General features: G+C 42.5%; 1 protein-coding gene across 9 annotated transcripts in view; it reads left to right on the top strand.

The window, feature by feature from the left end:
- FAXC (failed axon connections homolog, metaxin like GST domain containing) overlaps positions 1–14,230 on the top strand; it is a 78,896-nt gene that overhangs the window by 15,275 nt on the left and 49,391 nt on the right. For 5 of the 9 annotated variants that reach the window (NM_001346533.1, NM_001346532.1, NM_001346530.2 and 2 more), the window contains 2 exons: positions 1,235–1,431; positions 11,115–11,338. In NM_001346533.1, coding sequence (NP_001333462.1) covers positions 1,235–1,431; positions 11,115–11,338 — 421 coding nt within the window. Of the gene's footprint in view, positions 1–1,234; positions 1,432–8,618; positions 8,830–11,114; positions 11,339–14,230 lie in introns of those variants that run through there. The other 4 variants (NR_144464.1, NR_144463.2, XM_011536189.4 and 1 more) reach the window with 3 other exon arrangements.

The raw sequence follows: 14,230 nt of genomic DNA, 5'->3' as shown, positions 1-14,230 counted from the left end.
GCCATTGGATAATTTTGAGCAGCAGCGTTCTTGGGTCTCATTTGCATTGTAAACAGTTCCCTCTGGTGGCAGTGTGGAGGATAGATTGCATCTGAGAATGACAAGAGTCCAGAAAGGGATGTATTAAGAGGATATGGATGGCATCAAGAGAAATCTGAAATAGGGGCTATGGTATGTGGTAAGTTTACATCTTTAGTATACAGATTACAAGAATGTTAGATGTATTAGCAGCTTCTAGAAGTAGGTGACATTTCTCCTGGGGTAACATCAGGGATAATGTCTAGAGATCCATATGTGGTTGTGCAAGTTGCTCACTGCACAACAGTGCCTGGCCAAAGGGTGGGGGTGAAATCTTGACCCAGTTCTATTTGCCAAGCCGCAAACCTTGGAATGGACCATTTCCACCCAGAGGAGGTTCTATTTTCTTAATTGCACAAAGGCAATATGACTAACAGCAGCCCCTATAACATCCCCAATAGTTATTACCCTTTTTGAGGTTAGGCCTACTTTTATTCTTTAGAATAAGCAATGAGATAAATATCAAGACACCAGGAGGCAGAGATCAGTCCAAATCCCCGTTATTCTCTCTACCAATGACAACTTGTCAAAAACACAGATTCTGGGCACTATCCCCAGGATTCTGATCCAGTAGTCCAGGCTGGGGCACAGGAACCTGCATTTTTAAGAGGCACAGTAGTTGAATATGTTGTACATACTTTGCTACACCTAAGCATTATAATTTTTGGGGACCGTTCATTCATAGTGTAGTGGTATTATTATTCAGGTGTGAGATACTGGTTTTCAAGTGAGGTCTTTGGTTAGTTGTCCAGTCAATACAGGCCTCCTTGTGGTTTATATTGACTTTTTGAGTTTTTGAATTGTTTGTACATTAAAACTAGACTGACTATTACTAGGGTCATTTCAGCCCTTTCAATCTGCTACCCCTTACCCCCATCATCCCTTGCCCCTGGGGTCTTTTTTTTCCTTTTCCATCATAAGCCAAAGTCCACGATAGAATCTGTGGGAGAATAAAGTGATATCTTTATGTGAGGTTAAACAAGTTTTTTTCCTGAAGTAACCATGTATTGTCTTAAGGAGTTTATGCCCTGAGTTCATTCACTTGAGTAGTACTGTCACTATCAAACATAAGGTTGGAATGTTTGTTTCTATTAATCATGCAGTGGAATTTAAATACAATATTGCTTTTCTCTTTTTAAAAATGTACTCTGCTTAGAACTATTTTGGTGGAAAACTCTCTGCTCAAGGGAAAATGCCTTGGATTGAATATAATCATGAAAAAGTTTCTGGCACAGAATTCATAATTGACTTTCTGGAAGAGAAGCTTGGAGTGAATTTAAACAAAAACCTTGGCCCTCATGAAAGAGCCATCTCCAGAGCGGTGACCAAGATGGTGGAGGAGCACTTCTACTGGTGAGTCCCCTCTGGGGTGTCCCCGTCCTTTCGAAGTAAGCCCCAGGTTCTGTTTCACTTTTCAGATCCTCTTTCCACCGTTTCAGCAGTTTTCTACCTTAACAGTTTCGGATGAAGTGAGTGGCTCAGTCATCAAAGTTATTATGACTGTGAAGTTTCTGGTTACCTAGACCAGGGGTCAGCAAACCATTTCTGTACAGGACCAGCCAGTAAATATTTTAGGCTTTGCTGGCTGTACGTCTCTTTTGCAACTAGTCAACTCTGCTGTTTTATCACAGAAGCAGTGATAAGAGAGTATGCCAACAAATGAGCATGACCGTGTTCTGCTAAAACTTTATTATGGGTACTGAAACTTGAATTTCATTTAATGTACCATATCCTTCTTTTGATTTTTTTCAACCATTTAACAATGTAAAAACTTCTTAGCCTGTGGACTATAATTTGATGGGCCTTGATCTAGACTAGAACTCACTGAGTTGAGGAAGATAGTTGAATTGATTGGACTCAGGGCTTTTTACCAATACTGTATAAACTGTTGAATTAAAATAATATTATGTCAGAGACTCAGAGGAGGGAATGGAAGACTAAGTCAAGATAGAATTCCTAGGGTCAATTGTCCATAGATAACAAGAGCTTCTGTATGTTCCAGAAGTAAAGCATACTACTCCTTTCTGGATTTTCTTTGGCTTGATTGCAAACTCCTAGTTTGTATTCCCCAAGTTTGAACCATCACACGAGTTGATGAGTTTTCCCTGTTCTGTTTTTTGTAGCCTTGAGCTGGCGGTGGTACCATGTGAGTTAAGAAGATATGGTTCTTGCTTTACAAACTCATTAGTCTATGGTTTTTGAAATTTTTCTTTCATCCATTTTCTGGAGTTTCTGCACCTTTCTCTACACCCCAGTAGATAGAGAAAGTTTCTCTTGATTTCTGCAAACTTTATCTTTTTCCAAAGATTGAATTAAGAGTTGTTAAGCCCATTGTTTTTGGCATTAATTGTTATCTGCAGGCAGATGCTGGCCCAGTAGCTTTTATTAAACCTCTCCCGCTGAGTGATATCCTCAATATGGGCTTGACTGGAGAAGGTTCTTTCTTCTCCTCCTCCCCTATTTCATTTATTCTACTCTCTTTCTAAATGGAGAACTTGCTGTTCCTATCTCTTGGATTTTAAGTGACCCTCTTCTTTTTCTCTTTTTACTTTTGATTCTTGCCCAGTTTATTCCAGGGCTGACCTAAGCTCCACTTCTACCCACCACTCCCTAAAGAGGTGATAGAGTAGGCAGCAAGGAGGGGGCTGGGGAGAGGCTGGAGACAGGGGTACAGATTAGTGTGGAAGTAATCAGACTCAGTGTTCATGGAATGAACCAGGTATTTTCCTTACAATAGTGGTAGGGAACTGTTGGGGCTCCCCTCCCAAGGTGTGCAGCAGTCACAGTCACAGGGAACCAGAATGCATGACTGCATCTGACATGCATAGCTTCCAGGAAAAACTTAGCTTCTGAGAAAGGCCTTGCGAAGAGCCCATCACACTTGCTTACTAGGCTCCAGTCAGTTCTGCTGCTGTGAAGGGAAAGGAAGGACCTGCACAAGGCCACGTGACCCATGTTCCTTCCCTCGACAGAGGCCCTCCAAGGCACTACCTCATTTGATTGATGGGCCCATTGATTGCCAGAGCTGTTGCTTTGTTAGCTGTCTGAAAAGCTGAAAGCCATACATTTTAGTTGTCACTTTGGCTACAACTCTTTGATTTCCATAATGGTTTAGAAAATATATATTCCCCTTAGAAAGTTTTTGACCCAGCAACATTTCCAACTACCACACATCACTATTTTTTGTTCTGTGTGTGCGTACATATCATTTTACATAACTTTACTCCTTGCTAAAAATTCATCCCTGCCCTGCCCTTTCCATCTCTTCCTTCACCAGCCCCGAGCTGATACTCCATGCGGGGTGGAGTGTGGGTGGGGTAAGGGATGGAGGTGAGAGTTGGGAAGTGGTACCCCGTGGGAAAAGATCTTAATTTTGTGGACTACAAATTTCCAAAGGCTTGGGGATCTGCTTGGGTCATATGTAGACTCTTCTAAGGACAATTTTATTTCTCTAATTCACTTTTTAATTTGAAAAATGTTGGAGGGGTTAGCTATTATTTCTTGCTTATGTCTTCTCAATGGTTAATTTGAGGAAAAAATAGTGAGGGTGGGAGGCAAGGTCTTGATTGAGATGCACATATCTAATAAACTTTCAAAGCAACACTGCTAATTCCCACAGTTCTATTTAGTCCCTAGTAGCAGAAGGAAAAACAAATCTGTTTCTTAAGGTTCTCAAGCCTTTAGCCAACTTCTTGCTTTGGGGAAAACCTGAAGAGACTTTTAGGAGAGCTCTAAATCCCAATGGAGAAAAGACCCTCCTTTCCCCATGCCCCAGGCAGAGAATCTTCAGATACTCTTCCCTCAGGCACCTCCCATCCTCTGCTCTTCTGGTTCCAAGGCCACACACAAAATGTCTACCTGTGGAAGCTGAGGCCCAGCATATAGGGATCTGACCAAAATTTGTAGGAAAATATTATAGGTATGAGCTTTCCGTGATATCTTGTTAAATTCTAACAGTCAGTGAGCTCCTAGGTTGTGTCTATACTCACATAGCCAGAAGAGGAAATTTAATAAGCCTACCTTGTTTGACTCAATTGATTCAATTATGTGGAGTTTTCATATGTTTATGTTGGCCTGAAACCTTAAAAACACCCCAGGCATGATTTTATGAAAAGCAAAGGCAATGGAAAGCTAGCATTGTTATATTACATCACATAATTCTGAAACTGTTTTAGGTCTATTCAAATAAACACACTCAGCTCTAAAGTGGCTTTTCTTCCACTTGAAATCTATACACTGATGTCCCCCTTGCATTATAAAAACTGTTACTGAAGATCAAGAACACAGTTTTTAAAAATCCCCTTTGTTGTACTGAATACATAAGTACAGAGAAGCTGGTGTAAAGGGAAGTCAACTTGACACGGGGTCAAATGACTGGAATGAAACTGATTTTGGGTGACACACACTGCAGCTTCTTCAGTGTGACATACTGCCCCCTTGTGGATGTCAGTGAGCGTCTTCAGAGTCTTTCAACCCCATATGGGTATCATTTTCAGACTATCTAGTTATTATAATATTTTCACCCATAAAAATATAGGCATTAGGGCCAGTCGTGGTGGCTCGTGCTTGTAATCTCAGCACTTTGTGAAGCTGAGGTAGGAGGATTGCTTGAGCCCAGGAGTTCGAGACCACCCTGGGCAACATGGCAAAACCCTCTCTCTACAAAACAGTCAGGTGTGGTGGCGACTGAGGCGGGAGGATCTTTTGAGCCCAGGAGTTCGAGGCTGCATTGAGCCGTGATCGCGCTACTGCACTACATCCTGGGCGACAGAGTGAGACCATGTCTCTAAAAAAAAATAACAAAAATTGTTCTAATGCCTGTGTGTATGTGTGCACGCGTGCACACATACACACAGGCATTAGAACAGTGAATTCAAACTTGCTTCTAGGTTGGCCATAATTTTACAATTTTGAGTGTAGTTCAGGAGATGGGGGAAGATGGGATAGTTTCATAAATTGACTTAACCAAGATCTTTTCTAAAAGCCAAGAGACTACTCTTTCTGTTTATAACTTTGTTCATATGTTCTCCTTTTCTTTCTTTTCTCCCCACCCCAGTTTTAGATGTAGCGAGGGCCCCTGTTTGGGGGAGTTGATGTAATGCTTGTGAAACTTGGTGAAACTACAGAAACATACCATATGCTCCTGTATTCTTGAGTAGATATTCAGAGTATAAGCAAAAGACAGCAAGGATGTAGCCCTATGCAGAGAAAGGCATTCTCATGAGTTGGAAGTCCAGGTGTTGATACTCAGTCATCAAATTGTAGTTTGTTATGGGTTCCCACTTATAAATATTCATTTCTATCACGGGCCAGGTATTAAGTTATAATGCATGATATCTTCATTAAAATACCAGGGGTCAGCTTCTCTTTGACCATTTTCTTGTTCACCTGTAAACATTTTTGAGCAGGTTTTGTTCCTCTGTTCTAAGATAGTCTTTTAAAAAATCTCTTTGACCCCATTTTTGCAGAAGAGATTAGATACATTCGTTGTGATAAGGAAAATTAGTATTTCAACTTCTTGAAATAGATCCTCAAAATGATAAGTTAATTGCTTAGCCTTGTCAGCTTTCCAAATTGACCCTCTCTGTCCTCTTCAGTTAATGATTCATGATTCCTTTTGCAGTGGGTCTCCTCCCAGTGGAGAGTGAAGAGCCATGGATTCCAAGAGAAAAGTGGCAGCCCCTTCTTCATTTTCCGTAGGCACATCTCTTTGTTCTCTTTTCCCATTTTTCTATTTAAGTATGTGTCATCTCTTAGAAACACTACTTAGCAGTAGCTGGCTCAAAAGCAAAGCCTTTTTTCATTTAATCAATAATTCATTATTTCTGCAAACTTAATGAATGAGTGTTAGTGGCCAGGATGGTATGTATACCTGTTATCAAGTGGCTCAAAGGCTGGAGGCAGACATCAAGGCTTTGTAATGGTTAATGCTGGGGGAGGGTTTGAAGAACCAAGAAAAGGCAGCCAGCTATCACTAGAGAGAAGGGGGGAAGGCTTTGCAGAGGAGGTATTGTCAAAACGGAATCCAAGGACAGTTGGGAGTGGCAGATGAAGGGGCTGGTGGTCGGGAAAGGTTAGGATGTCTAGGCAGAGGGAGCAACATCTGCACAAGTTTAGAGGCAAGAAGGAGGCATTTGGGGAGTATATTAGGCCGTTTGGGCTGTCATAACAGAATACTTTTGACTGGGTGGCTCATAAAGAGCAGAAGTTTATTTCTCACAGCTCCAGAGTCTGGCGAGTCCATGATCAAAGCATCAGTGGATTTGGTGTCTGGCGAGGGCCAGCTTCCTGACTCATAGATGGTCATCTTTCTCACTGTAACCTCATATGGTGGAAGGGCCAAGGCAGCTCTCTGGGGTCTCTTTTATAAGGGCACTCATCCCATTTATGAGGGCTCTGCCCTTATGACCTAATCATAATCCCAAAGGCCCCACCTCCACATACCAACACACTGGGGGTTAGGTTTCAACACATGAATTTTAGAGGGACATGAACGTTCAGTCTATAGCAGGGAGGTGCATGTAATTCTGTATGGCTTGTGCATGGGGTGCATGGGAGTCAGTGCTGGGAGATGGGGCCCAAGAAGGGCCAGGTCATAGAGGGGTTAGACTGTGGGGAGAGGGGCTGGCATGCCATGCAAAGGAGCTGTGGGGTATTAATGAATGACTCTAAGAAGCATTACTCTTATGATTAGGTTTGTGTTTAGGAAGCTCTTTGTATACATTGGAGCAAATCATTTCTGAAGGGCCTTGAGGGGATGTCAGGGGACCTGGTAGGAGGCCATGTTCCTTGTAGTTAAGAAATAATGAAGGGCTGAACTGCAGTGTTTATAGAGTTGGAGAAAGGGCAAATTCACAGGGTGACTGGCTGTCAGGAGTGAGGGAGAGGGGTCAGTGAAGAAAAACTCCTGGGATTCTGGCTTGGGTGAGGAGAATCAGGTTTGAATGGAACAAAGATGATGAGTGCAGTTTTGGAAATGTTGGTTTGCAGTTCCTGAGGGTCATCCACATAGTATCCATGGATATCAGGAGAGAGGGCTGGATATGGGAGACATGAGTGTGAAGTCATAGGTGTGAGTTAGATGGCTCCACGAGTGTGGAGTAGGAAGATAGGAGGAATGAAGATAGAGATCTTGGGAATATGTAAGGGGTGGAAGGAAAAGCAGTAGAGGTGTAAGCTAAGGGGAAGTTCCAAGAAAGAGGCCAATAGTGTCAGATACTTTAGAGAGTTCAAGAATATAGAAAGATGGTTTATTTAGATGTTGCACTGTTGACTTGAACAAGAGTGATTTTGGTGGAGTAGTTGGGGTAGAGGCTCCAACCATGTCAACAGGGTTTTCAAGAATCTTGATTGTGAAAGGAGGTGGATTCTTGTTTGCAATAACATGGAAACATATACAATGTGATATCTTCTATGTGTGGTAGTTGATTTAGGAATCTATGAAGCATCTATTTTCTTTGGTATTTAAAGTTTATACACATTTCACTGGCCTCAACCCTTAAAGACCTGCCTGACCCTCATTTACTTCTCTTCCCTGACACTGGTCGATAATATTGAGCACAGAGAGTGAAAGAGAGGAAGAAAAATCAAGGGCAAGATAGAAGGAGAAGAGAGAGAGACCAAACAGTTTCTGAGGTTACTTCTAGCTATGAAATTCTGAATCAAGCCAGTGTTTCGTCTTCTGTGTCCTGCATTCAGCCTGCTGCAGGTAGAGAATCCCACACCATTGCACTGGCAGAGACTCCTCCCTGCCAAGTTGTGTGGCCCAGAACAGCTGCCTCTCCCTTCATGCCTGCTACTGCTAAAACTCTCTACACTGCTGTGTTTTCACCTTGTGTGCGTGCCCCCATTTCCCATGCTACGGAGGAAGCTGAAGTCATCAGGCAGGAACTCTAAATTTCTCTGTAGCCCCTCACCCCTTACAACACTCTCTCTTTCTGAAGCGCAGAGAAAGATGCCCCTACTTCTCTCCAAGCTGCCTCTTTCAGCCTGGCCTTCACATCTTCTAACTTGCCCTTGAACTATGGTTTCCTCAACACTCTAGAGACTTCCTAAGGTGACCTCATCTCCTCTCACAGCTTTGAAACCACCACCAACATGCCCCTGCTCACCAGTTCTCTATCTGGAGTCTAAACCTGTCTCCTGAGTTCTCAGCCTTCTAGACATCTTCACTTAGGGGTTCCATGGGACCTTCAAATGCTACAGGTTAACCAATCTTTCATCATCCAAATATATTCTACCTTGTACAATCTAGTATTGGTTACTGGTATTACCATCCACTCAAACTATCATTTTAGGAGAAAATACCTAGTTTCTCCTTACCCATAAATCTTTACATCCATTGTAGTCCAGTAGACTCTTTTTCTTCTATTGCAATGTTTCTCCTATGGATTCCTTCTGCCTTTGCCTCACCCAGTGCATCATCTCTTGCCTGGTTTTGCTGTAGTCTGGTAACTGGCCTTCCTGCTAGCATTTTCTCCACCTTCCAGTTCTTCCTTTACATTGCCACAAATCTGATTATGTTTCTTGTCTGTTTAAAGCCTTCCAGCCGTTAACCTTTGCTTTTGGAATAAAGTTCAGCTCCCTGTCCTCAGGCCTGTCCTGATTGTGCCCTTGCCGGCGCCTCCAGCCTCGCCTCTTACAGGCTTCCTCAAATGCAGCCTGTACCCACGTGCCCCTTACAGAAGTTCTTGCAGTTCGTCAGGCAGCTGATGCTCTTCATGCGTACACCTTCACCCTCTGCTCTGCCCGGTGAGCTCGATCAGTTATGCTTATGATCAAATCTGTAATTTGTCTACAAAGGATTTTTTTCCCCTTCTAACCCGTCAGCTTAGAGCCACACATTCTGCATTTTTACACTTTAGATGCTTTTCGGATGCTATTATTACTTGCTCATGTTCAATTTAGAATAATTTAGTTTTATCCTAAAACCATTGAATTCCAGAATGGTAAAAGGTTGTGTAACTTTTTTTTGTGAATTTAGACCTAATACAATTAGAGTCAAAGTGCTGAATTATTCTAAGGGAACGTGAAAATTGTCATCTTAATTACTGCAGGTGTGAAAAAAGGAGCAAGTAGGAAAGCATTTCGTTTCCATGTCTATATAGAATTTACTAGAAAAAATGTGAGCTATTCTGTATTGGAAGATCAATGGAATGCTCCGACTATACACATTAATTAGTCACTATTGTGATGTACTTCTTCCTCTTTTGGGGAAAAACTATTTCTTGATTCTTCAGTACTTTATTTTGAGAGACTTACCAAAAGAGTCACACAAAGCTTTCTAATCAGATTTATGGGCATTCGTTTAAAAAGGTAGCCAAGAACAGCTATAGCTACAGCACAGGGAGTATGTTGAAATTGGCTGTAAGACTTTTTGGTGAAAATCAGGAATCCAGCAATTTTAGAGAAATCTATTTCTTATTTTTATTTGTTTTTAGAACAGAGAACCCTTAAAGAACAGAACTATATACAATGATCAAAATGCCTTTTTTTCCCCCTTGAGGTGGAAAACAGCATTTCATTGTAGCTGTGATTTACTGTCATTCCTTGAGTTCTCTCTCAAAATATTTTTCACCCCTTTGATTTAAAAAAAAAAACAAACCTTAAAAATTGCAGCATTCTGGCTCTGACACTTTCCAATTCCATGAATTTCTTTTTATTTCTGAGTTTTTATTTATTGATTGATACAGTGGTCCCACTATGTGTTGCCCAGGTTGGCCTCAAACTCTTGGGCCCAAGCGATCCTCCTGCCTTGCCCTCTCGAGTAGCTGGGACTACAGGCATGTACCACCACACCTGGCTTCTGAATTTTTTGAAGTGGCCATTACTGCTATATCAGCCAGCACTAAGAGTAGAGGTGATTGCCAATACATCTTTTATTACTCATTAGGGAGGAAAAATGAAAATGTCTTATGCCTGTACTCGCACACAGCTGCATTCTCTTCAGCCTTTGGTAGAAAACCCTTTGAATTTCTATCTACCAGCACTATTAGCCATAAAAAAAATTCTTGCCATTTGGGGAATAAAATCAGCAAAGACCTGGGTACGGTGGCCAGCAAAATGTTGGAACAGTGAATAGCTGCTGGCCTCGCCATACGGATTATACTGTTTTCAGGAGCACCCGAATGAGCAAGTTTACCACTAGGATCACCTAGACGGGAAAAAGGATTCAGCCAAGTTCCATTGGCAGTTGTGTTCCCTTTAGAGTTCTTGAGAACAAACTGAGGTAAAGAGTTGATTTTCTTGGAGAGCAAATCATTTACATAATATTTTAATTTATAATAAAGATGGACAGGTGCACTTACTCCCTAATGCGCTATCAAAAAAGCAAAAAGGCTAGGTGTGGTGGTGCATGCCTGTAGTCACAGCTACTCTGGAGGCTGACGTGGGGGAATCACTTGAGCCCAGGAGTTATAGAGTCCAGCTTGGGCAACATAGCAAGACCCTGTATCTTTTTTTAAAAAGGGAAAAAGGTTTCTTTCAGAAATTTTTCTTTTTTTTTTTAACTCTTTTATGTCATGAAATGTAAAATGCATATACAGAGTATACAAAACAAATGTGCAGCTTAATTAATGAACACCAAGCATAAACCTGTGGAACCATCATTTTGCTCAGGAAAGAGAATGATGCCAACACCCCAGTCACTACTGCCTCCTGCCCTGTGCCCCCATGGGTGCTCACTCTTCTGACTCAAAGACTTTTCCAGTGGGTTTCTACTTGTTTTCTGTGGGGTTGTGTGAGAGAAGGCAGAAACGTGGCACTGGGAGGGGAGGGGAGAGGTCTGAGGGTGGGTACCAGGAAAGGTTTGATGGCATCTTTATCTGGATTTTTTCCCATTTCTTCCACAATCCCTTAAGTCTAGGCATTGACTAGAGCCTGTTGTGATAGCTGCCATGCAGATTGCTCTTTATTAAAGCTGCAGTTATTCAGTTCCTCCAGAGTGTAGTAAATTCTGAACGACTCATTCTAAAGTGACCCTGTGGAGCTGATATGTACCTGATGCACAGTAGTAACTTGTTTCCACACAATTCCAGGACATTAGCTTATTGCCAGTGGGTGGACAATCTCAATGAGACCCGGAAGATGCTCTCTCTTAGTGGTGGTGGTCCCTTCAGCAACCTGCTGAGGTGGGTTGTGTGCCACATAACGAAAGGAATTGTGAAACGCGAGATGCACGGCCACGGCATTGGCCGCTTCTCCGAGGAAGAGATTTACATGCTGATGGAGAAGGACATGCGGTCTTTAGCAGGGCTTTTGGGTAATGTACCACACCTTCTATTTCTATATTTGCTATTCTTTCCTTTTGCATGATTAGTAAAACACTGTTGGTTCACTAATTTATGTTTTAATTTTGGTTGATTTCTTTGCTTCCATGTGTAGATTGCAGTCCCCACATTTAACCAAATCCTCTAATTTTCAAAAGCATGTGTCTTTCTACTTAATCACTGGTACTTGACTGTTTTTAGCATGGTGAGCCCGTGTGAAGAGAGTATGGAACATGCTTCAGCCTCACCACCTGGCTGCAAGTGATGCTGGCACTTCTGAATGTGCTGTAAGAAAACAGGGATTTTGAGCAAGGAAGCACTTTGGTTTATAAACAGGTCAGGGTCACAGGCTGCTTTAGGAACACGCTGCTCAGAGGTTCAACTGTGTGCCCATTGACGTCAAGAGTTTGAGAGGCCTGCTGACAGCACTGATTCTGATCCATTCCCTGTATATGTGGAACATTTGTCATTTTCTCACCCCTCTTATTCCTGGTCATATTCTTAGTCCTCTTATTACTAGCACATTTAGTAGTGTGATTTTGTATTTGTCACACACAATGATATAATTTTGTTTGGGAAACCACTAAAAGAGAAGCACAGAGAGCAGTGTGTACCCGCGGGCTGGTGAGGATGGCTGGGAATAGAATGATGTACTCTTGCTCCCCTGACCGGTTGAGGGGGCCTGGGCTGATGTGGTTCTTTACTGGGCAGAGCTTGATTCATAGCGATGACAATTCATAAACAGATATTGAATTCAGGACCTTCTATGTGTGAAATAATGGCTTCTCCTGGGGGATAGCTAATGTACAGGGAGCCAAGTCCTCCATGTGACTAGGTCATCTGACCAGGTCCTTTTGAGGGCTACTAGTTTTTTCTGCAGAAGGTGGGTTTTCACTGGCTCTCCCTCATCTGCAGTAATTTCCAGATTCACCCTCATCCTCATTCTAGAGCACATTAAGTACCTCACCTCTGCTAGGAAGTAGAGTTTAGAATTTGTTTTGTTGAAGACCACCTCGTGCCTTAGGAACTGGAAGCCATGCTGGGTAGAGGCCGTTCTGGATATAACCTGTCCCTTGCAGAGTGACCCACTCTGACTGCATCTTTCTGCTCTACATTTCAGACAGTTGCTAGACCTGAGGTCCTTCCTTGAACCCCAGCTTGCAGAGGGCAGATCCCAGTACCACATCCAGCTCTTGGCTAGCTTCATTACGGGAGTTATGTTCTGGGGGTGGGGGCTTGATACTGGCTGGACTCCTTCAAAAGCTCTGTCTGGCCTGCAGAATTGACATTGTCTAGGCCTTCTGTTGTTTTGCTCCACTGGGACCAGGTAGACCTGCTTGATGTAGATGTGAATGGAATTAACCTCAAGTTTGCCTCATTCCTTTGGAAACTTAATGCTGGACTCTTGGCCTCAGAAACCAGGCTCACAACTGGGCCATTTCTCCTTAACAATGGCTATGTCTGTTCCTGGCTTCTTCCCCTTCCTCACCGGCTCATGCTGTTGTGAGCCTCAGTAAGCAAGGAATTGAGCCCCTGGAATTATGACAGAAATTATGCTATAAGCACCACACATCTTTAACAGTGTTGCTTTTTTAACCAGAGAGGGGCGACCTTCACCTTTCGGGACATTTCTGGTTGGGAAAATCAGAGAGCAGGGTGATAGCAATAATAATGGTAACTGACAATTGTTTCTCTCGCGTTTAGCGATTTAGACAATGCTTTCTCCCCAGTTTTCAGGAGATAGAAGAAAAAGGAATCACTGATAGCTAGGCTGGATACATGATAAGTATTCAAAACAGCATTAAAAGTCTGGATTTTCTGGGATGAGAAGCTGAGCAGGCTAGTTGAAAAGTTGGAGTTAGCTGGCGTTATATTCTGTGAGGCCCAGGGAGCAGTGTAGTTGTGAACTCTGTGATAAGAGAAGCACTTTTTCTATATTTGGGGAGGGAGAGGCTCTTTGGCTGAATATCATAATTTGTCTTACTAAATGAGGCAAAAAGCCTCATTTCATTTATTGAATAAGTGAAATTCAAACTACCTCCCTGCCATCCCCACGGATGTGGCTCATTTTTGATGCCCAGATGCCTAAGAGACTCAAAATCCAAAATTACTTTTTGTTGAAATAGCTCAAGATTTGGGGAAATAATTGTCCATGGTTGTATATCTGACTCATCAGGATACATTAGTTATCAATGTTCCTGGTCAATCAACTTCAGTGATTTGAACATTTCCCAAGTGCCAGGAGCTGAGGAATATGAAGATGGGTTAGAGATTTTCCCCTCTCTCAACTAGCTTATAGTCCAGGGGGTGATGAGGCTGTAAACCAGGAGAGGCAAAGTACTGCTGATCCCTGGTGGCCTGTTTTCATATAGCCTGTGAGCTAATAATGGTTTTTACTTTATTAAAGTGTAGGGAAAAAATGCAACAGAAATGTGCCCATGAGGCCTGGAGAGCCTGAAATATTCACCATCTGACTCTTCACAGAAGTTTGCGGACCTCTGCTCCAAATGAGGATCTGCACAAGTCAGGCTGGGGCAAGTCCCACGACAGAGACGTGTACTTGGTGCTCTGGGATGAAATAGCAGGGGGGACTGGGGAGGGCCGTAGATGAGGCGGCAGTGTGTTGGCCCAAGAAAGAAAAGAGTTGTCCCAGTGAAGAAAATAAGGACTTTTTGGGAAAATCATGAGAAAAAGAATCCCAAGTGAGTGGCATTTGGGAATCATGGTTGAAATGAAGATTAAAAGATAGTTTGGGGCCATCTTATAAAGGACAGTAATTATCATGCTAAAAGATGTATACTTTATAATACAGAAACATGGTGATGTTGCAGATTGCTGAGAATAAGAGAGAAGGAGCCGCATGTGTGATCTAGAAAAGCGGCTCT

The sequence above is a fragment of the Homo sapiens genome, chromosome 6 (assembly GCF_000001405.40).
Source record: "Homo sapiens chromosome 6, GRCh38.p14 Primary Assembly".
Taxonomy (NCBI): domain Eukaryota; kingdom Metazoa; phylum Chordata; class Mammalia; order Primates; family Hominidae; genus Homo; species Homo sapiens.
This window is presented reverse-complemented; position numbering and strand designations above follow the sequence as displayed.